This window comes from Homo sapiens, chromosome 19 (assembly GCF_000001405.40).
Source record: "Homo sapiens chromosome 19, GRCh38.p14 Primary Assembly".
Lineage (NCBI taxonomy): Eukaryota > Metazoa > Chordata > Mammalia > Primates > Hominidae > Homo > Homo sapiens.
Genome location: NC_000019.10, coordinates 16336623 through 16362641, shown reverse-complemented (window position 1 = coordinate 16362641; position 26019 = coordinate 16336623). Strand labels below are relative to the sequence as shown.

The 26019-nt window shown below is 49.6% G+C and overlaps 1 protein-coding gene across 11 annotated transcripts in view, besides 1 other annotated feature; it reads left to right on the top strand.

Moving 5' to 3' along the window:
* EPS15L1 (epidermal growth factor receptor pathway substrate 15 like 1) overlaps positions 1–7395 on the top strand; it is a 116766-nt gene extending 109371 nt beyond the window's left edge. For 4 of the 11 annotated variants that reach the window (NR_047665.2, NM_001258374.3, NM_001438224.1 and 1 more), the window contains 2 exons: positions 658–863; positions 6791–7395. Coding sequence is in view for 9 of the 11 variants with exons in the window: in NM_001258374.3 (NP_001245303.1) it covers positions 658–863; positions 6791–6937 (353 nt within the window). In the remaining 2 variants the exon portion in view is untranslated. Of the gene's footprint in view, positions 1–657; positions 1065–6790 lie in introns of those variants that run through there. The other 7 variants (NR_047666.1, NM_001258375.2, NM_021235.3 and 4 more) reach the window with 3 other exon arrangements.
* Positions 19832–20061: an enhancer, noted in NCBI's record as "active region_14224". NCBI's record gives its function as "activates an Ori minimal core promoter by ATAC-STARR-seq in GM12878 lymphoblastoid cells {active_cell/tissue: GM12878}" and the evidence as "EXISTENCE:reporter gene assay evidence [ECO:0000049][PMID:35858748]".

The following is a 26019-nucleotide window of genomic DNA, read 5'->3' as shown; positions in this document are numbered from 1 at the left end:
TGAGGTGGGAGGATCGCTTGAGCCCTGGAGGCCAAGGCCGCAATAAGCCATGATTGCACCACTGCATTTCAGCCCAGGTGACAGAGCAAGACTCTGTCTCTGAAAAAAAAAAAAAAAAAAAAAAAAAAAAGAACTTAAACCTCAGCATGGCAGAGCTGTGTGCAGACCCTTATAACTAACACACCGAATAACCATACCACGTTGTGAAACTAATTCCTCCTTTTCATTTGCAAGTAACTCTCCCCTCTGCCTTTTTTTTTTTTTACTGTTAGAAGCTTGCAGTGTATTTTTCTGCTCAGCCATGATTTTTTAAATTAGTATGTTAATAAATGTGTTGCCATGCTAAAATGAATCTGTTTGAAACGTACCTGCATGCAAACTATTCTAGGACAACTCAAGTTTTAGCTGCTCTGTGTGCGTTGTGTATGGGAGTCATCTGAAGTGTTTTTCCTGTGTTGTTCACAACCCGTTAAGCCCCTGGGATAAAGCTGATTAAAACTGGGATTCCCCAGGGTACCCCCGTCCAGCCTGTTAGCCAAGTTACAAGCTTTTCTCAGAGAAGCGCCCCGGGCTTGTGCCCACCAGCATTCTGCTCTGTCCGGGTGAGTAACTCATATTTCTTTCTTTCTCCTTTTTTTTTTCTCCTAAACTTTCCAGGTAAAAGTACACCTGTAAGCCAGCTTGGTTCCGCAGACTTTCCCGAGGCCCCCGATCCATTCCAGCCACTCGGGGCTGACAGCGGCGACCCGTTCCAAAGTAAAAAGGGGTTTGGGGACCCGTTTAGTGGAAAAGACCCATTTGTCCCCTCCTCTGCAGCTAAACCTTCTAAGGCCTCTGCCTCGGGCTTTGCAGACTTCACCTCTGTAAGTTGAGTCCTCCGCCTCCGGGCCACCCCACTCCCTTCCGCTTGCAGCTTCCCTGGGATTTTTGTCTCCTTTTAAAGGCAAACCTCCCAGCTTCTTTAGCCTCTTGGTACCTCACACTCTCTGTCCCTCGCGTTATTTATTCTACACTGCCACTTCTGTAAGAAAAACAGTTTCTCAATAAAAAAAAAAAGAGCCGCAGTTTGGATGCTCTATCATAAGGGCACGTTTTCTTCCAGCAGGGAGGCGGGACCTATCTGTCCTTCACGGTAGATTCATTGTATTATTTCTGACGCACCGAGGCTGTTGTGTTCACTGGTTTTTGGAAGCCAAGATGTCAAACACTTCCGAAGTATGAAAAGAAGATTGCGAAAGTTACATTAGGGTTCTGCTGTCCCCAAAAAGCCCTTTGTGCACAAGTTCTCACAGTCCCGCCCCATGCATTTTGTGCCACAAGTGCAAATTGAAGGACTTCAGGCAGATCGCGCCAGGGAAGAGCAATTTGAAGTTTTTTTTTTTTAAAGCTTTTAAATTTCAGTTACCAGCTCCAATGAAAAAAGAAATCCAGTCTAGAACAGCCACTCTGAAAGCCAAAACAAAAAGAGCTCCAAAAAACTGTTGAGCAAAGTTAAGTGCCTTTTCGGAAGCAAATCTCGGGATTTCGAAAGCCTGGCTTTGTTTTTCTCTGTGTGAAAAAATATTCCAGATTGTAACATGCCGTCGCTTCAAGGAGTTTTTAGCAGCTTCCTTGATACATGAAAATCTTGTTCTCTGAAAGCTTCAGGTGTTGTCTTCCCAGAATTGGTTTCACTATGTGTGATGCCCTCGCTTTCTTCCTTTGGGCTTGTTAGTTCCTTCATCATTAGGTGTGAGATGTGTTATTTATAGATGCTTCGACTCCTGGGATGGCTCTTTGAACACAGCCCTGCCATGTCAATGCACAGAAAGCACCCGATTTGTTTCTGAGCCGTCTTGATAATCTCTACCGTGCACAGCTATCCTATGGCTTATTTGTCAATTTATTTATTTTAGTGACAGGGTCTCGCTGTGTTGCCCAGCCTGGTCTGCATTGGCGCGATCAGAGCTCACTTGTAACCTCGAATTCCTGGGCTCAAGCGATCCTCCTGTCTTGGCCTCCTGAGTAGCTGGGACGACAGGCGTGCAACACCACGCAAGGCTAATGTTTAATTTTTTTTTTTTGTAGAGGTAGGGTCTTGCTGTGTTGCCTGGGCTGGTCTGGAACTCCTGGCCTCAAGCGATCCTCCCACCTTGAAGTACTGGGGTTACACGTGACTGGCCCATGTGGCTTATTTAAATCGCCCAAGACCCTGACCTGTTTCTGGCTCTTGGTGACCTATAAATATTTTACAACGGCAGTGAGTTTGATTTTGTTGACCCTAGATGCGCACTGGGGGTCTATACAAAATGGTGACATTGTTAATAAAAGCCAGAAACAAAACCTGCTTTATCTAGAGTTTCTTGAATAGCCCTTCATTTATTTTCTGGTGGAAAAATATTAAACGCTGATTTAAAAAAAACAGAACTCTTCACACATGACTCAGGTACTCTGTCTTGGGTAGGGAAGAGTTAGGTAAGTGGGGTGAACGGCAGCTTGAAGAAATGACTGTTCTCTTTCTGAAATTCATAATTCTATTTCCTGTGACCCCAACCCGCAAAGGGCTCGTTTTTTCGAAAAGCATAAAAAAAAAAAAAACACCCAAGGTTTCAAGGTATCATTTGGCTTAGCATTTCTGGTAGTTCCAGAACAATTGTTAACTTCAGTTTTAAAATAGCGCCAGCCATTTTATCACCCTCATCTCCTGGTGGGAAAGCAAATTCCACCCAGGCCTGGATGCAGCCCTGTTGTTTTCTGTTTTTTTTTTTTTTTTCCCTAAGTTTTTGGTTTTTACATATTTGGAGATGAGTCTCGCTCTGTTGCCCAGGCTAGAATGCAGTGGTGCAGTCACAGCTTCACTGCAGCCTTGACCTCCTGGGCTCAAGCAATCGTCCCACCTCAGCCTCCCACGTAGCTGGGACCTCAGGCGCGCACCACCACATCTGGCTAATTTTAAAATGTTCTGATAGAGACAAGGTCTCACTTTACTACCCAGTCTGGTCTTTGAACTCTGGGCTCAAATGATCCTTCTGCCTCAGGCTCCCAAAGTGTTGGGATTACAGGCATGAGCCCCTGTGCCCGGCCTGTTTTCTGTTTAAAATCACTTTTCCCACTGCAAATACCCCAGTTTTTTTCCAGAGGAAATGATCAGATAGTGTACTTCAGCCACTCTGAAGGGATGGGTTGAGTGAAGACAGGACCCTTAATTGTTTTTGTTTGTCCCCTTGGGTCGTATCATTGTCTAAAATCATCCATAACCAGCTCTCCTCTGGGGACTCAAGATGACGTCTCTCCATGTTCACGGCATTCGGGGGCTCAGCCGATCAGCTGGTGGTTTCTGGGTTCACTGGATCTTGACTATTTGTGCTAACTTAGAAGAGGGCACAGCTGCTTCCTCTGGTTTGAATGATTCCACTTCCCTGAGCAAATGCCAAGAGGGCTGTCTGACTGCCCGGCAGATTGGCAGCGTGACTCTTTCAGCGTGGACGTTCTGAGACTGCTGTTCAGGGCATGTTTTTACCTGTGCAGGAGCAGCCCAGTCCATGCTGGCAGTCAGGGGGGCCCAGGTCACCCGCACCTCACTTGTGGAGGTGGTGCCCCGGCGGTGCCTCTCCAGAACCCTCTAATTTACAAACCCCAAATTTCCATCAATGGGTTATTTGCGTGTGTGGCTGTTCCCGGGAAACCTCTTCCCTCTCTGGTATTTCTTTAAAAGCAGGCCTTTCTGTCTCAGGCAAATGTGTGTATTAGGAAGTGGCATTTCTAGGTTAGCGGAACGGTTCTTTTGGAAGTTCGCATTAAGAGTAGTGCAAATACCAGATCAGCTAGGCCGTGCTTCGAATTATTGAAGGAGTTGGATACAATTTCATTGTCGGTAAATGAATGAATGGGAAGTGGCTAGGCATGTCCTGCACATGGTGGGGTGGAAGTGCCATCAGACACCTTGGAGCGCCAGTGAGGACAGGTGCCGGGCGCCTCCCGGGGCCATCCCATCGCCCAGCGTGCCGAGCTGTCTAAACTGCGGATTTCCAAGAGGCTGCTGAAATGAACCACTTATTTGCTTCTGAAAATGAACCCCATCCTGAGTGGGCAGGCCTCGGCTAGGGTGGTGTCATGCCCCTACGGTGTCTCGGTTCCATGGTAATGCCAGAGGGAAGCAGAAATCAGAGCCAGTGTGTTTCCCAGCCACTATTGGTTTTGCATCGGCCACAGACATCCAGATTCTGGCCCGTGTGACCCACCCAGATACGAGAACTAGAAGGTGGCCCCGTCCAGGGCTAAGACAGCAGACACAGAGGGAGCTGCGGAGTCCCCTTTCAGGAGAGCTCTCCCAGGCCTCACAGCCCAGCGTGCCTCCTAAGTGCATACAGACCTCACCAATGCAAGTCTCCACAGTGGATTCGTGAGCTGGCCTTGAACCGGTCGACTCTGAAGGCACCAGGAACTTTCCTGCTGACACCTTTCATTTGGAAACACAGACCCGTCAAGGGAAGGCGCTTCAGTGACACTGTGACACGGGGGCTCAGTGGGGCCAAAGGCGGCCAGAGGGCTGTGGTTCAGACCCAGCAGGCCGGTTACTTGGTCGTTCCAGGCTTTGATTTGGATCCAGGCGAACATTACTGTCAGCTCCCACCCACCCTGTCCTCAAGGCTGGTGGAGGGTGAGGTCCCCGTCAGCTGCACTGTCTCCCTCCCACTGTTGTCAGCAGCACCATGGAATAATTTCCACCTGCACTTGTTGGTTTTTCCTTGTTTTTCTCCCCATGAGGTGTTGGAAAATTCCCCAAACTGGGGCGGGGGGGATGCTTATCTGTGCCCCTGGCAGTGACACAATGGCGGGGAGGGAGTCCGACCTGGAGACTCATCAGACCCCCAAGTGTTTAGCTGGGCAGTGCCTCTTTAAGAAGTCAAGACTCAGCCCTTCCTCCCAGGGACATCTTTTCTTGATACTGACACTCCGCCTGTCCCCCATCTGGGTCCTGAGGCCAGCTAGAGGGAGGCCTCCAGGGCCCCGCATCCCCCTCACTGCCACATCTGCCTCCCAACCAGGTTCCTTGCATTTATCTGCTCCTGCACCTTGCCCAGTCCCCCCAGCCCTGCCATCTGGCCCTCCTCTCTCCTGCTTCCCGCTCATGCCACCATCAAGCCGTGAAATATCCAGACGCTGCCAATCTGATCACCCAACTCGCTCGCCCAAGGAGCCTCCACGGGGAAATCCCAGCTCCTTCCTGGGGCCCACGAGCCCCTCCTCAGTCTGGCTTATCCCACCCCACGCTTCATCCTGGCTACCCCAAGGTCGGGCACTGAGCCTCACACCCAGAACCTCGCAGGGACGCATCCTCCCTGTCAGTTTCACCTAGTATCCTGCTCCCCACAGGCCTGGGGGGGAAAAAGTCTAGAGTGTGAGCCACCCCTTCCCTGGCCTCAGTGTCCCCAGCTGTCAGAGGGATGAGATGACAGCGGGCCCACCCCCAGGTTGTCACGCAGACCTAGTGCTGCGTGTGGTGGAGAGGCCGTGAGTGTTCCTGTGTGCTTCTTTCCCCCACCTTCCTGGGTTAGTCTGCAGGGCCCTCCTCGAGAGCCTGGGTCCTTGGGTCCTGGATCGTTCTGGGATTGTTTGTATATTTCTGCTCCCAAGGGTGCCTGGGGAAGAGCCACTGCGCATGTTATCTTTGGTGTTACTCCAGTGTTGAGCAGAGAGCTGGTCAGAGGCAGTGCATCGCAGAGAGACATTAATAAGGGAATCCTTTGAATCCCTAAGCAGCAGCAGCTTTCCTGAGGGGGCCGATGATGCCAGTGACCTCTCAGGGAAGTCTGGGACATTGGGACCCACCCTGGGGGAGGAGCTTGTGGGATGTGGCTTTTCTTTTCATGACTAAAGTACTTTGAGTTGTTTGAAATCACCTATCTCAGCATCAAGATGGTTTTCTCCCTTTTTTAAGTTTTTATTTTAACTGAACATTTTAGAAAAACACCCCACGGATAAAAACTTGACTAAATGGCAGTGTAAGTGCCACACCTTTTGTCAGTGTTCTGGGAGAAATTGACCCTCAGAGCCGGGTGCGGTGGCTCACGCCTGTAATCCCAGCACTTTGGGAGGCTGAGGCGGGTGGATCACAAGGTCAGGAGTTCAAGACCAGCCTGACCAACATGGTGAAACCCCGTCTCTACGAAACATACAAAAATTAGCTGGGCATGGTAGCGCATGCCTGTAATCCCAGCTACTCAGGGGGCTGAGGCAAGAGAATCCCTTGAACCTGGGAGGTGAATGTTGCAATGAGCCGAGATCGCGCCATTGCACTCCAGCCTGGCGACAGAGCGAGACTCCATCTCAAAAAAAAAAAAAGAAAAAGAAAAAGAAAATGACCCTCAGAGGGTCTCAGAGCTCTCTGGAGCATGGCTGGAGGTAGAAATACCACATTCCCAGAGTGCAGAATTGTCTGCGCCGTGGGGCTTTAGAGCCATGCACGCTGGAAGTTCCCCATCTTTGCACCTCTTGGCCACCAGCGTCAAGGGCCCATCCTCACTTCTCTGCGTGGGGCGGGGTGGCTGGTTTCTTTGAGGCCCAGAGGTCATGGTTAAGGTCACACTCAATCACATGCATCCCGTCCACTCTGCTTTCCAGATGGGGGGCCTGAGACAGGCTCGCACGCCCACTGGGCCCAGCCAAGACATGCTTATCCCCTGCACATCGGACCCTCCGCTGGGCGGTGGGCAGGACCCTGACCCCTCCCACGCATTCCCTGCCTCCCTCCAGCTTGCAGGTCCCAGCCCCAGGGCCACATCACCCACTCTCCGTTTTTCCTTTGCAGTTTGGCAATGAGGAGCAGCAGCTGGCGTGGGCCAAGCGGGAGAGCGAGAAGGCGGAACAGGAGAGGCTGGCGCGGCTGCGGCGGCAGGAGCAGGAGGACCTGGAACTGGCCATCGCGCTCAGCAAGGCTGACATGCCTGCCGCCTAGGCGAGGGCCGTGTGTAGGCGGGACAGGGCACGGGCGGGTTCCAGAGAGGGGGCAGTGCAGATGTCTATATATACACACACACACCGTCGCCACCGTACTCCAAGGACCGGGACTCGGGGGCTTGTTCAGGGTGAGCAGACTCGGCTGCAAGACCTGGAAAGGTCACATCTCCTGGGGAAGCCCTTACAGAGGCCTTGGCCACCACTTCTGCAGGTCCGTCTCTCCACTGTGCCATCCCCCCCGGGGCTGACTGCCTCCCGCTCTTCCTCTGGGGACGAACACACAGCGGTCAGTCGAGGAGAGGAAGCACCCAGGGCTTCCCCGCCTCCTCCCTACTCATAGCTGCAGACATCCCCACCCGCCCTCCCACGCATCAGTCAGACACTCCCCCAGTGGTGTATGCACTCGTTGTATAAAATGAAGTTTGAATGATTAATATAAAATATTTTAATACAAAACAAGAGAAGCTTCTTTAATCTCTGTAAACATTGTTTTCCCTGCATGGGTATCAGGAAGCAGATCAACCAGGTGGAACATTGCTCTTTAAATCTTAAGTTTTTACTTTTAAAAAAAATTTTTTTTTAAGAGATGAGATCTTGCCATGTTGCCCAGGCTGGTCTCAAACTCCTTGACTCACACAATTCTCCTGTCTCAGCATCCCAAAGTGCTGGGATTACAGGCGTGAGCCACCAAGCCCTGCCCATTTTTATGTTTTAACCAACTTTATTTTTTAGGACAGTTTTAAACCTGCAGAAAAATCACAAAGATACAAAGAGTTCCCATAAGCCCCTTAGACAATTTATCCTTAAAAAAAATTTTTTTTTGAAACAGGGTCTGAGCTCTGTCACCCAGGGTGGAGTGCAGTGGTGTGATCTCAGCTCACTGCAACCTCCACTTCCCCGGGCTCAAGTGATCCTCCCACTTCAGCCTCCCAAAGGGCTGGGATTACAGACATGTGCCACTGTGCCTGGCCAGTTTTAAATTTGCAGAAAGATCGCAAAGAAAATACGAAGGGTTCCCATAAGCCCCTTAGAGAGTTTACCTTATTTTTAACATCTTACATTACACATTACTTACATCCCAATTAATGAACCAATACGGATTCATTATTATTAACTAGAGTCCTTACTTTATTCAGAATTGCTCTGTTTTTTTGGCTGAGTGCGGTGGCTCATGCCTGTAATTCCAGCACTTTGGGAGGCCGAGGTGGGGGGGATCACTTGAGGTCAGGAGTTGGGGACCAGCCTGGCCAACATAGTGAAACCCTGTCTCTACTAAAAAAAAACAACACAAAAATTAGCCGCGCGTGGTGGTGCGCACTTGTAATCCCAGCTACTCGAGAGGCTGAGGCAGGAGAATCACTTGAAACTCAGGAGGTGGAGTTGCAGTGAGCCAATATCATGCCATTGCACTCTGGCCCAGGCGACAAGAAAGACACCGTCTAAAAAAAAAAATGCAGGTAGGGCACGGTGGCTCACACCTGTAATCCCAGCCATTTGGGAGGCCGAGGCAGGTGGATCATTTGAGGTCAGGAGTTCAAGACCAGCCTGGCCAACATGGTGAAACCCCGTCTCTACTAAAAATACACAAAAAATAGCCGGGTGGTAGTGGAGCATGCCTGTAATCCCAGCTACTCGGGAGACTGACGCAGGAGAATCGCTTGAACCTGGGAGGTGGAGGTTGTGGTGGGCCAAGATCGCACCTCTGCACTCCAGTCTGGGCCACAGAGTAAGACCCTGTCAAAAAAAAAAAATTCGTTTTTCCCCCTAATGTCCTTTTTCTGTCCCAGGATCCCCCATGACATTCAGACCTTACATCTCGTTAGAATTCTCTGGGCTGGGTGGAACCCCGTCTCTACTAAAAATAGAAAAATTAGCCGGGCGCAGTGGCAGGCGCTTGTAATCCCAGCTACTCAGGAGGCTGAGGCAGGAGAATCGCTGGAACCCGGGGGGCAGAGGTTGCAGTGAGCCGAGATCACACCGCTGCACTCCAGCCTGGGCGACAGAGTGAGACTCTTGTCTCAAGGAAAAAAAAAAGAATTCTCTGGGCTGTGTGAGTTTCTCAAACGTTGTGTGTTTTTGATGACAGTTACAAGGAGAACTGGTCAGGTGCTTTGTAGAATGTCCCTCCACTGGGATTTGTCTGATGTTTTTCCCGTGACTAGATGTGGAGCTGGACTTGGGGGAGGAAGACCACAGAGATGAAGTGTATTGACATCAAATCACATCAAAGATCCATGTCATCAACATGACTTAGAAGGCTGGTGTTGACCTGGATCCACTGGACATAGATTTATTTTTATTTATTATTTTATTTTATTTTGGGACAGAGTTTCACTCTTGTCACCCAAGCTGGAGTACAATGGTGTGATCTCAGCTCGCTGCAGCCTCCACCTCCCAAGTTCAAGCAATTCTCCTGTCTCAGCCTCCCAAGTAGCTGGAATTACAGGCATTAGGCAACATGCCTGGCTAATTTTTTGTATTTTTAGTAGAGATGGGGTTTTGCCATGTTGGCCAGGCTAGTCTCAAACTCCTGGCCTCAGGTAGATTTATTTTTAAAAAGCAGTTTTTCAGCCTCAGATATTTTGTTACATAGACTCGTCTCAGGGCAGTAATTCATGAGATTGAAAATACAGGGCCGGGCGTGGTGGCTAACGCCTGTAATCCCAGCACTTTGGGAGGCCAAGGCAGGTGGATCAAGAGGTCAGGAGATTGAGACCATCCTGGCCAACACAGTGAAACCCCGTCTCTACTAAAAATACAAAAATTAGCTGGGCATGGTAGTGGGCACCTGTAATCCCAGCTACTCGGGAGGCTGAGGCAGGAGAGTGGCTTGAACCCGGGAGGCAGAAGTTGCAATGAGCCGAGATCGTGCCACTGCACTCCAACCTGGTGACAGAGCAAGACTCTGTCTCAAAAAAAAAAAAAAAAAAAAAAAAAAGGCCAGGAGCAGTGGCTCATGCCTGTAATCCCAGCACTTTGGGAGGCCGAGGTGGGAGGATAACTTGAGGCCAGGAATTCGAGACCAGCCTGGCCAATGTGGTGAAACCCCATCTCTACTAAAAATACAAAAAATTAGCCAGGCGTGGTGACAGGCACCTGTAATCCCAGCTACTCAGGAGGCTGAGACAAGGAGGATCGCTTGAACCTGGGAGGCAGAGGTTGCAGTGAGCCAAGATCGTGCCACTGCAGTCTAGCCTGGGCAACAGAGCGAGACTCCATCTCCAAAAACAAAAAAAGAAAATCCTCAGGAAAAGGAAGAGAAAAAATATTGGCCATCCATTAAGTGGAAGTGGATCATCATAAAGGTCTTCTTCCTCATCATCTTCCCATTGAGTAACCCGAGGAGGAGGAGGAGGAAGGGTTGGTCTTGGGGTGGCAGAGGTGGAAGAAAATCCACATACAGGCAGGGCACAGTGGCTCATGCCTGTAATTCCAGCACTTCAGGAGGCTGAGGCGAGTGGATCACCTGAGGTCAGGAGTTCGAGACCAGCCTGGCCAACATGGTAAAACCCCGTCTCTACTAAAAATACAAAAATTAGCTGGGTGTCGTGGCAGATGCCTGTAATCCTAGCTATTAGGGAGGCTGAGGCAGGAGAGTCACTTGAACCCGGGAGGCGGAGGTTGCAGTGGGCTGAGATCGCACCACTGCACTCCAGCCTGGGCAACAAGAGTGAGACTCGGGCTCAAAACAAAGAAAATCCACATATGACTGAACCCACCCAGTTCAAACCTGTGTTGTTCAAGGGTCATCTATAAACCATAAACTGAAGTTTATGGTGGATTTGGGCGAATGTAAAGATTCCAAACCTTTGGTAATCCCCCTTTTCCAGGTTACAGACCCTCGAGGGGTCCCTGCAGTCCTGGAGATGAGGGTGTTGGGAGGGGACGTCTTCTTGGTGCCCATGGAATGGGCCTGCTTTGTGGATTGGGGCCTGGTGGGGCCTCGTGGGCTTTGTAACCTCTGAGATGCCCCTAATCTTCTCTGCAAAAACGAGCAGCTTCCTGAAAGTGGTCATGGCCGGAGGCAATTCCCAATACTTCCTTCCTCCTGCAGGAAAACCCCAGAGTGAATCTGAAGGTCCCAAGCCATGTGCTTCTGCCGTGATAGATCCCTTTGGAGAAGGCGCTGAGTCACCTCTCTCCAGGGTAGTCACAGCTTTGGCACCATTTGGTTTGGGACTTCACAATTTTCACAGCGATTCAGCTTCCATTATCTTGTTGGAAACTCAAAGCAACCTTGTAAATGAAGAGGGTGGATGTTAGCCCATTTTCCTGAGGGAAAACTGAGACTCATTCCCTGCAGTCATTTGCCCAGAGCTCCGAAGCCAGCCAGGGGCGGAGGCTCGTTTTGCTGATTTGAGAAAAGAATTGAGGGTTTCTTAGAAAACTTCAGGGTTTCTAGTTTCTTGTTGTCTTCTGCTTATTTGCATATTCACCGTACCCAGAAGAGGCAGGTGATGGCTCTTGATATCTTAGAAATGGAAAACCATGTATTGAATTAGGAGCTCTTACCCAGGGGAGGGGACGTTTTTAGGGAAAGCAGTGAACCCCTGAATGCACATTTGCTGGTTTTTTGTTTTTGTTCTTTTTTTTTTTTTTTTTTTTTTGAATCGGAGTCTTGCTTTGTCACCAGGCTGGAGTGCAGTGGCGTGATCTCAGCTCACTGCAACCTCTACCTCCTGGGTTCAAGTGATTCTCCTGCCTCAGCCTCCCAAGTAGCTGGGACTACAGGCACACGCCGCCATGCCTGGCTAATTTTTGTATTTTTATTAGAGATGAGGTTTCACCATGTTGGCTAGGATGGTCTCGATCTCTTGACCTCGTGATTCGCCTGCTTCAGACTCCCAAAGTGCTGGGATTACAGGCATGAGCCACCGCACCCAGCCCTGGTTTGTTTTTTATTGTATGTGGGTTTGCAGTGTTCATAACTTTTTATCTTTTTTTTTCCCCTTTTTTAAGAGATGGGGGTCTCGCTCTCTCACCCAGGCTGGAGTGCATGGCGCAATCATAGCCCACTGCAGCCTTGAACTCCTGGGCTCAAGTGATCCTCCTGCCTCAGCCTCCTGAGTAGCTGACCACATCCGGCTAATTTTTTTTTTTTTTTTTTTTTTTTTTTTTTTTGAGACGGAGTCTCGCTCTGTCACCCAGTCTGGAGGGCAGTGGCACGATCTCGGCTCACTGCAAGCTCCGCCTCCCGGGTTCACGCCATTCTCCTGCCTCAGCCTCCTGAGTAGCTGGGACTACAGGCGCCCGCCACCACGCCCAGCAAATTTTTTTGTATTTTTAGTAGAGACGGGGTTTCACCGTGTTAGCCAGGATGGTCTCGATCTACTGACCTCTTGATCTGCCCACCTCAGCCTCCCAAAGTGCTGGGATTACAGGCATGAGCCACCGTGCCCGGCCCTGGCTAATTTTTTTTAATTTTTATTTTATTTTTATTTTTATAGAAACAGGGTCTCACTATGTTGGCCAGGCTGATCTCCAACTCCTGGCCCCAAGTGACCCTCCCGCTTCGGCCTCCCAAAGTGCTGCTGATGACAGGTGTGAGCCACTGTGCCCAGCCTCCATCTGATTTTTAAAGAGGTCCTCAGACCCTTTAAAAAGTTAGAAGCCAGTCTCAAATCCTGTTTCCTTCCTTCCCTGCTACACACACACACACACACACACACACTCCCCTGCTGTGTAAATAATCAACATCAAATCCACAAATCCATCCCCTCTCCCATTGGCAGTCTCTTCCACGGCAAAGGACACTCACGCCCTTTCCTGAAGAATAGAGTATCCAATTGGAACAAATGTATGATGAAAATTTCCAAACATAATAGTTGAAGAGAAAAGGACAGTAAACACCCCCACCCAGCGTCAACTGTCATCCAGATTTTCCACCTTTGCCGCATGGCTGTCTTCCTTTGCTCTGGAGAAGCACTTTAGAGCAAGTTGGAGTCAGGATGCCATTTCGCCCACGTGCCCTGAAGCGCACGTCACTGAGACGTGTGGCGACTGACATGCTAACGTATACTCGATGCCAAGGTCACGTCTGAGAAAATGAACAATGACCCCTCCTAGCCATCAGATCTTTCACATAAGAGGCAACTTTTGATTGTTTTTTTTCAAATGGTTTCTTTCTCTCTCTCTCTCTCTTTTTTTTTTTTTTTTTTTTTGAGATGGAGCCTTGCTCTGTCTCCAGGCTGGAGTGCAGTGGCGCGATCTCAGCTCACTGCAACCTCCACCTCCTGGGTTCAAGCGATTCCCCTGCCTCAGCCTCCCAAATAGCTGGGATTACAGGCACCTGCCACCATGCCCGGCTAATTTTTTGTATTTTAGTAGAGATGGGGTTTCACCATGTTGGCCAAGATGGTCTCGATCTCCTGACCTCGTGATCTGCCTGCCTTGGCCTCCCAAAGTGCTGGGATTAGAGGCGTGAGCCACCGCGCCCTGCCTCTTTTTTTTTTTTTTGAGACAGAGTCTCTCTCTTGTCACCCAGGCTGGAGTGCAGTGGCGCAATCTCCGCTCACTGTAACCTCTGCCTCCTGGGTTCAAGTGATTCTCCTGCCTTGGCCTCCCAAGTAGCTGGGATTACAGGCACCCGCCACCATGCCTGGCTAATTTTTATACTTTTAGTAGAGACGGGGTTTCACTGTGTTGGCCAGGCTGGTCTCGAACTCCCAACCTCAGGTGATCCACCCGCCTTGGCCTCCCAAAGTGCTGGGATTACAAGCGTGAGCCACCGCCCCCGGCCCCTTTTCAAGTAGTTTCGATCTAGGGTTGGTTGAATCAGCAGATACAGAAACCTCCAATACAGCAGACAAGAGGCAACTTTCATTTTATTTTTGTTTCTTTATTTTTAGAGAAAGGGCCTTACTCTGTCACCCAGGCTGAAGTGCGGTGGTTGCGATCATAGTTCACTGCATCCTCAACCTCCTGGGCTCAAGTGATCCTCCCACCTCAGCCTCCCAAGTAGCTGGGACTACAGGTGTGCACCACCATGCCCAGGTAATTAAATTTTTTTTTTGTAGAGATGGGGTCTCGCTATGTTGCCCAGGCTGGTCTCAAACTCCTGGCCTAAAGCAATCCTCCAGCCTCAGCCTCCCAAAGTGCTGGGATGACAGGGGTGAGCCGACACACCCATCCGAAAGAGGCAACTTTTTTTTTTTTTCTTTTAGAGGCAGAGTCTCGCTCTGTCAGCCAGCCTGGAGTGCAGTGGCATGATCTCAGCTCACTGCAGCCTTCACATCCTGGGTACAAGCGATTCTCCTGCCTTAGCCTCTTGAGCTGGAACTACAGGCACATACCACCATGCCCGGGTAATTTCTGTATTTTTTGGTAGAGATGGAGTTTTGCCATATTGCCCAGGCTGGTCTCGAACTCCTGACCTCAGGTGATCCACCTGCCTCAGCCTCCCGAAGTGCTGGGATTACAGGCGTGAGCCACCACACCTGGTCGCAAGAGGCAACTTTTGACTGCAACCCCATTGCGTTTTGTCTCCCAGATTGTAACGAGCCGTGTCCTCTTTGTGGGTACCCTTTATCTTCTCCGCATCCAACAACCCAGTTTGGACTGGTGTTCAACTGGAATTCAAGGGCCCACATTGCCCGGTCCAAGCCATGTTTTGGAAAAGGATGACGAATGATCTACAGCCTCCTCTGAGTAAATGAAATCACATCTTCAAAGCCCATTTTATGTAAAAGGACATTCTCATCCTGGAACAGTTGTGGAAGGCTATTTTTAAAACTGTCAGGAAGCGTCTGGGAAACAAAGAAACTGCCTCTTGAAATAATGGAGTCAATATTTCTGCCTCTTATCAGATCAAGTTCCTTTGAAACATGCTACTTTTTTTTTTCCAAAATTTTCCCCAAAGTTACTAGGACCTGTACAAATTGTATCATGAGCTGTTTTTGGAAAAATATAAAAGGAAATGGAAATATGATGGTTATCGCAAGCTTATTCCAAAGAGATGACGTGATGTGGGCTTGCCTGGGTAGAGTCGTGTTTACGTTGAGTGGTCTTTATTTTTATTATATTATTATTATTATCATTATTATTATTATTATTATTATTATTTTGAGACAGTTATGCTCTTGGTGCCTAGGCTGGGGTGCAATGGTGTGATCTCAGCTCCCTGCAACCTCCACCTCCCAGGTTCAAGCAATTCTGCCTCAGCTCCCCGAGTAGCTGAAATTATAGGCACCCACCACCACGCCGGGCTAATTTTGTTTATTTTTAGTGAAGATGGGGTTTCACCATGTTGGCCAGGCTGGTCTCGAACACCTGACCTCAGGTGATCTGCCCACCTCAGCCTCACAAAGTGCTGGGATTGCAGGCAAGAGCCACTGCGCCCAGCCGAGTGGGTCTTTAAATATCACTCCTTGATTTGCTTCCTGGTTTTGTTTTGTTTTGGGGATAGGATCTTGCTCTGTTGCCCAGGCTGGAGTGCAGTGGTGTGATCATAGCTCACTGCAGCCTCGACCTCCTGGGCTCAGGCCATCCTCCTACCTCAGCCTCCTGAGTAACTGGAACCACAGGCATGTGCCACCATGCCCAGCTACTTTTTAAAAATTGGCCAGGCATGGTGGCTTACACCTGTAATCCCAGCATTTTGGGAAGCCGAGGCGGGTGAATCATGTGAGGTCAGGAGTTCAAGACCAGCCTGACCAACACGGTGAAACCCGGTCTCTACTGAAAATACAAAAAAATGAGCTGGGCATGGTGGCGGGTGCCTGTAGTCCCAGCTACTTGGGAGGCTGAGGCAGGAGAATCGCTTGAATCAGGAGGCAAAGGTTGCAGTGAGCCGATATCGCACCACTGCACTCCAGCCTGGGCAACAGGGTGAGACTGCCTCAAAAAAAAAAAAATTATTCATAGAGATGAGGTCTCTCTATGTTGCCCATGCTGGTCTGGAACTCCTGACCTCAAGCAATCCTCCTGACTCAGCCTCCCAAAGTGCTGGGATTACAGGCGTGGCCTCTGTGCCCAGCCTGATTTCCTTTCTGACTGACGTGCAGGGGTGCTCTCTATTCATGACCTTGGACCTAACCTCAGTGCACCTCAGTTTTCTTATTTGGCCAAGGAGGTTGGACCAGACAACCAGTGAAGACCTTTCTTTTTTCCTTTTTTTTTTTTTGAGACAGAGTGTCACTCTGTCACCCAGTGGCACAGTCTTGGCTCACTGCAACCTCTGCCTCCCGGGTTCAAGTGATTCTCCTGCCTCAGCCTCCTGAGTAGCTGGGATTACAAGCACCCACCACCATGCCCGGCTAATTTTTGTATTTTTGGTAGAGACGGGGTTTCACCATGTTGGCCAGGCTGGTCTCAAACTGCTCTCAGGCTGGTCTCAGGCTGGTCTCAAGTGATCTGCCTGCCTTGGCCTCCCAAAGTGCTGGGATTACAGGTGTGAGCCGCTGCGCCCGGCCCAGTGAAGACCTTTCTAGCTCTAAAAGCCCTTAAGATGATTATTCAAGTCTCCAAAAAGACACATATTTTAGGATCTCAGATAATAAAAAAAGAAAAATTGAATAAACATTATCTTATGAGCCTCATCTTTATTTAAAATATTTTGCTCACTCTTGATAACCTTAATTTCATAGTTAAGGGGGAAATCCTAGTTCAAATAACACTAATGTACAGGCCGGGCACAATGGTTCATGCCTGTAATCCCAGCACTTTGGGAGGCTGAGGCAGAAGGATCACTTGAGGCCAGGAGTTCGAGGCTGAGGTGAGCTACGATGGCACCACTGCTCTCCAGCCTGGGCGACAGAGCAAGACCCCAACTCTAAAAACAACAAAAAACTCCCCTAATATAATGTCTCAAAAATATATCAACAATGTGTAATTATATCAATATGTTATATATCAATAATATATCTCTTATAAACTTTTAAAACACCATTGCAAGAAACACTAGTTTAATAAACGAGCAATTCTGTGACTTTCCATTGTTATTCCTATATTAACCTTCACTTGGGAGAGAGAACGCTTTCTGAGGCCAGAAACAAGGACTTTGAGATCCTGGTCTGTGATGAACATTATTTCTTTGTACTAAGGACAAAGGGCAGAATTTCCACTACGAGAGCCAAAAAAAGACTCAAGACAAGATGTAGCAATTGTTCAACTGTAAACACACTTTTTAAAGGAAATGAGGATCCTAGTTCTAAGAGAACAATATGGTGGACCAGAACCCTGGTTTATTTTCCGGTTCTAGATCCTGGAGCAAGATACCTGTGGCTTCTCTTCCCCTGAGGTAGACCAGAGAAGATGTTGAAGCCATGGAGGGGCAACAAACATCTTGGAAAAGGCACAGCCTTAAGTCAGAGTTGGTGTGAAGACAGCTTCACCCCTGGAGAGTGTGACCTTGGGTTGCTCAAATCACTACTTGGAGTCCCCATTTTTCTTCATCTATAAAATAGAGGTCATTGGCCGGGCACAGTGGCTCATGCCTGTAATCCCAGTACCGTGGGAGGCCGAGGCAGGTGGATCACCTGAGGTCAGGAGTTCAAGACCAGGCTGGCCAACATGGTGAAACCCTGTCTCTACTAAAAATACAAAAATTAGCTGGATGTGGTGGCGGGTGACTGTAATCCCAATTACTCAGGAGGCTGAGGTGGGAGAATTGCTGAACCTGGGAGGCGGAGGCTACAGTGAGCTGAGATCACACCACTGCACTCCAGCCTGGTCAAGACAGACTGAGACTCCGTCTAGAAAAAAAAAAATGGAGGTATAACAGCTATCCCTCAGGGCATATTCTAGATGTTCAAGTAAAGTAGTAGAAACAGTAGTAGTGGTTTTTTTGTTTTGTTTTGTTTTGTTTGAGATGGAGTCTCACTCTGTTGCCCAGGCTGGAGTGCAGTGGCGTGATCTCGGCTTACTGCAAGCTCCCTCCGCCTCCCAGGTTCACGCCATTCTCCTGCCTCAGCCTCCTGAGTAGCTGGGACTACAGGTGCCCGCCACCATGCCTGGCTAATTTTTTGTATTTTTAGTAGAGACGGGGTTTCACCATGTTAGCCAGGATGGTCTCGATCTCCTGACCTCATGATCCACCCGCCTTGGCCTCCCAAAGTGCTGGTATTACAGGCGTGAGCCACCGCGCCCGGCTGGATTTTTTTTTTTTTAATTAAAAATTTTTAATTATGGCCAAGCTCAGTGGCTCACACCTGTAATCCTAGCACTTTGGGTGGCCTAGGCAGGAGAATCACTTGAGGCCAGAAGTTTGAGACCAGCCTGGCCAATCTGGAGAAACCCCGTCTCTACTAAAAATACAAGAATTAGTGGGGTGTGGTGGCACACACCTGTAATCCCAACTGCTTGGGAGCTGAGGAACGAAAATCGCTTGAACCTGGGAGGTGCAGGTTGCAGTGAGCAAAGATTGTGCCACTGCACTCCAGCCTGGGTGACAGAGCAAGACTCTGTCTCAAAAAAAAAAAATATTAATTATGATAAAAAACATGAAACTTACCATTTTAACCATTTAAAAATTTATTCAGCCGGGTGTGGTGGCTCACACCTGTAATCCCAGCACTTTGGGAGGCCGAGGCAGGTGGATCATGAGGTCAGGAGATCAAGACCATCCTGGCTAACACGGTGAAACCCCATCTCTACTAAAAATACAAAAAATTAGCCGGGTGTGGTGGCGGGCACCTGTAGTCCCAGCTACTTGGGAGGCTGAGGAGAATGGTGTGAACCCAGGAGGCGGAGCTTGCAGTGAGCCGAGATCGCACCACTGCACTCCAGCTGGCTGAAAAAGCAAAACTCTGTCTCAGGAAAAAAAAAATTATTCATTTATTTTATTTTATGTATGTGTTTATTTATTGAGACAGGGTCTCACTCTGTTGCCCAGGCTGGAGTGCAGTGGTGCGATCTCGGCTCACTGCAGCCTTCGCACCCCGGGCTCAAGTGATCCTCCCATTTCAGCCTTCTGAATAGCCGGGGCTATAGGCATGCAGCACCACGCCTGGCTAATTTTTGTATGTTTTCTAGAGATAGAGTCTCACTACTTTGTGCAGGCTGGTCACAAACTCCTGAGCTCAAGGGATCCTCCCAAAGTGTTGGGGTTACAGGTGTGAGCCACCATTCCTGGCCTAAATTTATTTTTAATTTATAGAAATTTTTATTCTTTTTTTATTTTTTTAGAGACAGGTTGTCACTATGTTGCCCGGGCTGGATTCAAACTCCTAGGCTCAAGCAATCCTCCCGCCTCGGCCTCTGGAGTAACTGGGCCTACAGGTGCATGCCACTGCATCCAGCTCCACTTTAACCACTTTTTTTTTAAAAAAACCACTTTCAAGTGCGTGGTTCAGCAGTGTTAAATATATTCACACCATTCTGCAACAGATCTCTAGAACTTTCTCATTTTGTGAAATTGACACTCTGTACCCATTGAGCAATTCCCCATAACCCCACTTCCGCCTCCTAGCCAGTGGTACTGGTTTTTGTTATTATTCATTCAGATGGGTATTATTCTTATTATTTTAGATGGAGTCTCACTGTGTCACCTGGGCTGTAGTGCAGTGGCACGATCTCAGCTCATGTAACCTCCGCCTCCCGGGTTCAAGCAATTCTCCTGCCTCAGCCTCCCGAGCAGCTGGGATTACAGGTGCCCGCCACTAAGCCCAGCTAATTTTTTTGTATTTTTAGTAGAGATGGGCTTTCACTATGTTGGCCAGGCTGGTCTCGAACTCCTGACCTTGTGATTTGCCCGCTTCGGCCTCCCAAAGTGCTGGGATTCCAGGCTTCAGCCACCGCACCCGGCCCAGATGAGTATTATTAAAGCTATGGTTACTGTCCAGGGATTGCTTTGAGCTTTTAGAGCAGGGCCTGTATATTCTAGCTCCACTACCCAAGAACCGACTGAGGGGCAGTTCTGTCTGTATTAACTAAGCTACTACATTATTCCTCATTATAGGAATGGAATCTCATTGTAAAGGAAACCGGTGTGGTGGAGGGGAAGTCCCAGCCCTGCGTCTCCATTCCGTGCCATTGTACGAAGGTCATGGGAGAGAAGGGGGCTCGAGTGTCCTGGGTGCCTTCTATGGACCAAGCACTTTCTCGACCACCATTCAGATGGTCACATCCAAGACCAAGATGTTCACTTGAATTCAGAGGCTTGGCCAGGGGACTTTCCATTTGACAGGGACAGATGCCATTGCCTCTCTGTGGCACTGCCTGGCTGCATCACGAGCTTGTCTCTGCTTCAACAGTGGTTATTTTTATAGCTGACAATGAGACTTACTGGAAATGGTTTGGCACTCATGCGTAGAAAGCGCCTGTATTTAAATTTGAGGAGTCGGAGTGCCTGGGCCCTGGAAGATGGGTGGTTCTTCAGGCCCTTGGCCAAGACCTTTAAGCCATAGAGCAGATCCCTTCCAGCCCAGGAAAAATTCCAGGGATTCTCAGCCTTTCTGAGGACTGGTTCTCTCAGAGCATCTGTTTGAAGCCTTGGAACTGTCATCCTTTCTCTTGTCTGAGGGCCCTCCAGCCCTCACGGCTCACCCCAGTCCATTCATGTTACGCAGCAGAGCTCTTGTCAGCTTGTAAAACTGAAACTCTGCCCCCACTAAATACTCATTCCCCATTTCCTCCTCCCCCAGCCCCTCGCACCCACCATTCTACTTCCTGTCTCTATGAATCTGATGCATGGACTCATACAGTATTTCTCTTTTTGTGTCTGGCGTATTTCACTTAGGATAGTTCCTGTTGGAGCATGTATGTGTCAGAATCTTTCTCTTTTTCTTTTCTTTTCTTTTCTTTTTTTTTTGAATTGTAGTCTTGCACTGCTGCCCAGGCTGGAGTGTAATGGCGTGATCTCGGCTCACTGCAACCTCCGCCTCCTGGGTTCAAACAATTCTCCTGCCTCAGCCTCCCGAGTAGCTGGGATTACAGGCACGCACCGCCACGCCCAGCTAATTTTTGTATTTTTAGTATAGACTGGGTTTCACCATGTTGGCCAGGCTAGTTTCGAACTCCTGACCTCATGATCCGCCCGCCTCGGCCTCCCAAAGTGTTGGGATTACAAGCGTGAGCCACCGCGCCCGGCCCTATAATCTCTTTCTTTTTAAAAACTGAATACTATTCCATTGTCTGGATAGATGGATAGACCACATTTTGTTTATCCATTCATTCATCAGTGGATACTCGGTCCAAACTTTATGTTATATTGACAAAATAACTGTATTAAAAATAGTAATGTGGCTGCGCATGGTGGCTCATGCCTGTAATCCCAGCATTTTAAGAGGCCAAGGTGGGTGGATCACTTGAGGTCAGGCATTTGAGACCCTTCTGGCCAACACAGTGAAACCCGTCTCTACTAAAAATACAAAAATTAGCTGGGAGTGGTGGCGGGCGCCGGTAATTCCAGCTGCTGGGGAGGCCGAGGCAGGAGAATCACCTGAACCTGGGAGGCGGAGGTTGCAGTTAGCCGAGATTGCACCACTGCACTCCAGCGTGGGCGACAGAGCAAGACTCCGTCTGAAAAAAAAAGTAACGTTTTACAACAGAAGCAACTTATTCTCAATTGCTTTTTTTACACCTTAAAATTGAGCTGAAATTCACATAACATAAAACTAACCATGAAGTGTACACGGTAGTGGCATTTCGTGCATTCACAATGTTGTGCAACCATCACCTCTGTCTAATTCCAGAACATTTGCATCCCCCAAGAGGAGACCCTGTCCCCATCAGCAGCCACTCCCCATTCCCCTCCCCCAGCCCCTGGCAGCCACTCATCTGCTTCCTGTCTCTCTGGATTTGCCTGTTCTGGGCATTTTGTATCAGTGGAATCTCACACTATGTGGGCTTTCGCGTCTGGCTTCTCTCACTCAGAATGTTTTGGGGGCTCATCCACATTGTAGCATGGATCAGTGCTTCATTCCTTTTCATGGCTGAATAATATTCCATTGTATGTATGGATCACAGTTTTCTTATTCATTCTCTAATGGACACTTGGGTTGTTTCTACTTTTTGGCTGTTATGAATAGTGCTTTGATGAACATCCCAATTGTTTTTTGAGACAGTCTCACTCTGTCGCCCAGCAGGTTGGAGTGCAGTGGAGCAATATTAGCTCACTGCAGCCTCTGCCTCCCGGGTTCAAGTGATCCCCCTGCCTCAGCCTCCCGAGTAGCTGGGATTACAGGTGCACTCCACCATGCCTGGCTAATTTTTGTTGGCCAGGCTGGTCTGGAAGTCCTGGGCTCAAGTGATCTGCCCGCCTCGGCTTCCCAGAGTGCTGGGATTACAGGCATAAGCCACTCACTGCTCTGGGCCCCCAGTTTCTTTAAGCAAGCAAACAATAATAAAAGTTAATTGCCAAAACTTTTCCTCCAGGCAACAACCTTTCAGGGACCTCTCCCACTTAAAAAAGCACCAAAGGAGATGCACATTTACATTTAAGAAAGGCCCAGTTCAAGGTCAGGTCGTGGGCAGACACCCTCCCTCCGCCCGTGCTGAAGTTAGCTCCTGGTGGGGCAGTTGCTGGTGACGTCAGGATTCTGTAAAAACATGGAATTTCTCCACCCCCAACCTGCCTCCCAGAGACCAGCGGAATTAAGTAGAATGAATGGGCTTGTTTCCTTGGATTTTTTTTCTCTCTCTCTCTCATTTATTTATTTAGAGACAGGGTCTCTCTCTGTTGCCTAGGCTGAAGTGTAGTGGCATGATCTTAACTCACTGCAACGTCCACCTCCTGGGTTCAAACAATTCTCAGCCTCCCCAGCAGCTGGGACTACAGGCATGCACCACCACACCGGGCTAATTTTTTTTTTCTTTTTTTTTTAAATTAGAGACAGGGTTTCGCCATGTTGGCCAGGCTGGTTTCAAAATCCTGACCTCAGGTGATCTGCCCGCCTTGGCCTCCCAAAGTGCTGGGATTACAGGCATGAGCCACCGCACCCAGCCTAGAAATTATGTTTAGATTAATTTTTTAGTGATTATTATTCAGCCAGGCACAGTGGCTCATGCTTGTAATCTCAGCACTTTGGAAGGCCGAGGCGGGTGGATCACCTGAGGTCAGGAGTTCAATAAATTATTATTACTATTATTATTTTAAGGACAGGGTCTTGCTCTGTTGCCCAGGCTGGAGTGCAACGGTGCAATCATAGCTCATTGCTGTCTCGACCTCCTGGCCTCTAGGGATCCTTCTGCCTCAGCCTCCTAAGTAGCTGGGACCACGGGTGCACATCACCATGCCCAGCCCTGTCTCCCTCTCTCACTAATGGGCACCATTCCTTCACTGAGCACCTACTATGTGTCAGGCATAGCCCAGATTCCATCCATTTGAGATAGAGCCCGGCCAAGATAGCTGCTAAGAGCCCAGCTCTACAGAGGAGGAAAGAGACTGAGAGCCGCCTTCCCGTGCCTGAGGTTGACAGTGGTGACATAAGGAACTGAGCTTAGATTTGTCCAGGGCCCCTGGCCAGTGCCTCCCGAGTCACTGAGAGCTCAGATCCAAGCATCAGGGAATAGCAGCCCCGCCAGCAATTCTTGTACAGATGCAGGGAGGGAGGTTGGTGGGAACGGCCTCCAACTTCTGAGATGAGAAACCCTTCCTTCGACAAATCTCTGTATGACTCAAAACGAGCTCCCGGCAAGGTGGCCCGAGTCACCACCAGGGCACATTGAGGAAATGAGATGTCAGGATGTGTTTGCGGTTTGGGGTTCAACGGAAACACACCAGGAATGTGGAGAATTCTGCCCCAAGAGCCAGGATCGGTGCCTCTGAGTTACATTAAAGCCAAGAGGAGTGGGATGGGGCTGGCCAGACTTCTGATTCCTGAGTTTTTTCCCTGGAGCTGGAACATCTCATAGCTCCGAGGCTGCAGACGAGGGCTTGGCTGTGAAGTGTGTCTCTCGATCTTGGGACAGTCCCCAGAAAGGCCAACCTGGGGTCAAGGTTGAAAGTGGAGGGCAATTCAGGAGGCAGCCTGCGGAGTTACAGCAGCCTGCTGAGTGGCGCCTGGCATTCGGTGGGCGAGGCGCTATTTCCTGAATGACTGTGTCCATTTAGAGCCACGTGTCTCGGCGAGTGGCCCATGGACGGATGCATGGCCGAGCCAGAGTGCCTGCTCGTGTGCCAGCTCCCGGACCCTGCCAGAGGGCCCCCAGTTGGGATTCTACCCACTCGAGAGGATGCGGGTGGAGGGAGGCTGAGCACCCAGCAGGGTGGCAGGAAACAGCACTCTCGGTTTACTTTTCTCACCAGCCCTGGTGGGAGGGAGCTGTGGCTCAGAGAGGGCCAGGCGTGCGCCCAGGGCCATGGCCAGGGGCAAGGGGCAGAGGTAGGGGCAGCCAGGGCTGAGGGACTCTGAATGCTGTCTACGCTGCATACTACGTGCTCTACCCAGCATCTCCAGGCAGCCAGGGCCAGCGGATCCAAGTCCCCGTCTACACTACACGCTGCACACTCTACCCAGCATCATCTTGGCCTTGAGGTCAGAAATTCTGTCATCCCAGGAATCCTTGGATTTTGTGTGTTGCTCTCTGTGACTATGACAGGGGAGTAAAACCACTGTCCCCTTCACGGTCCTGACCCCTTGTCAACCAGGTCCCCCGAGTCATTCAGCACCCCTCTCTGCTGCTGCCCAGTCTAGTGGGAAGGAGGAGCCAGCCACAGATCTGGCGCTCCCACCCTGTGAGGTCCAAGCTGGCACGGGGCAGGCTGGGGTGCTTCTATGGGAATCAGGGCAGGCTTCCCAGTGGAGGTGATGCCGGAGCCAGGCCTTGGGGGGCGGACTGGCATCTGCCCCACGGACACACAGGAAGGGCTTTTTGCCATGAGGAACAGCCTGTGCAAAGATGTGGGATTGGGGAAGGGTCACAGGAGTTGGAGGACCTGGAGATGTGGATGGGAGCAGGGGATGCTGTTGTGGGAGGGGTCCTGACTAAAGCTGGGGACACGTGGCAGCCCCCCAGAAGCGGACCTCCAGTGGAGTCCCCACTGGCAGCCTTGAAGCTGTGGGGAGCAGCCACTCTTGGTGTTCCCCACAGTGATCTTGGGGGAATCATCCACTCTAGAAGCTACGAGCCCACAGGAGCCCTCAGAACTCACTAGGGCAACATCCAGAAGAGCCCATGCACATCTCATATCTGCAGAGAGAGCCCCAGGTGCACTGAGTCCCTGCACAAAGCCGGACTGGTCCCCACTCAGGAGCTTAGGCCCCTAAAGGACCTTCCCACTGCTAGAATGTTTTTTTGTCTTTTTTTTTTTTGAGGTGGAGTGTTGCTTTTTTGCCCAGGCTGGAGTGCAATGATGCGATCTCAGCTCACTGCAACCTCCGCCTCCCGGGTTCAAGCGATTCTCCTACCTCAGCCTCCTGAGTAGCTGGGATTATAGGTGCCTGCCACCATGCCCAGCTAGTTTGTTTTGTGTGTGTGTGTGTGTGTGTGTGTGTGTGTGTGTGTGTGTGTGTTGTCTTTTTTTTTTTTGTATTTTTAGTAGAGATGGGGTTTCACCATGTTGGCCAGGCTGGTCTCGAACTCCAGACCTCAGGTGATTCACCTGCCTCAGCCTCCCAAAGTGCTGGGATTACAGGTGTAAGCCACTACACATGGCCTTTTTCTTTTTTTCTTTTCTTTTCGTTTTTTTTGAGACAGGGCCTCACTCTGTTGCCCAGGCTGGAGTGCAGTGATGCGATCGCGGCTCACTGCAGCCTCTACCTCCCTGTTTCAAGTGATCCTCCCACCTCAGCCTCCCGAGTATCTAGGATTACAGGTGCACGCCACCAGGCCCGGCGATTTTTTGTATTTTTTCTGTGGATGGGGTCTCACCATGTGGCGCAGGCTGGTCTCAAATGCTGGGATTTTCTGATGAATCTTAGAGTAGGTCCTCCTTGTCTTTACAAGTGCGTTCTTGAATTTCTACATATTTCTTAAGTTTGCCAAATTCCTCTCTGTTTCTTATTTCTCACTTCATTCCATTGTGGTCAGAGGACATACTTTATAGAATTGCGATCCTTTTCAATGCACTGGATTTATTCTTTGGCCTCTCCCAGGGAATGTTCCTTGCACCCTCAAGAAGAAAGTGTGTCCTGCTGTTGTGTGGAGTGTCCTATAGCTGCTTGTTAGGTCTCATGGATTTATAAACTCCCCATGTTTAAA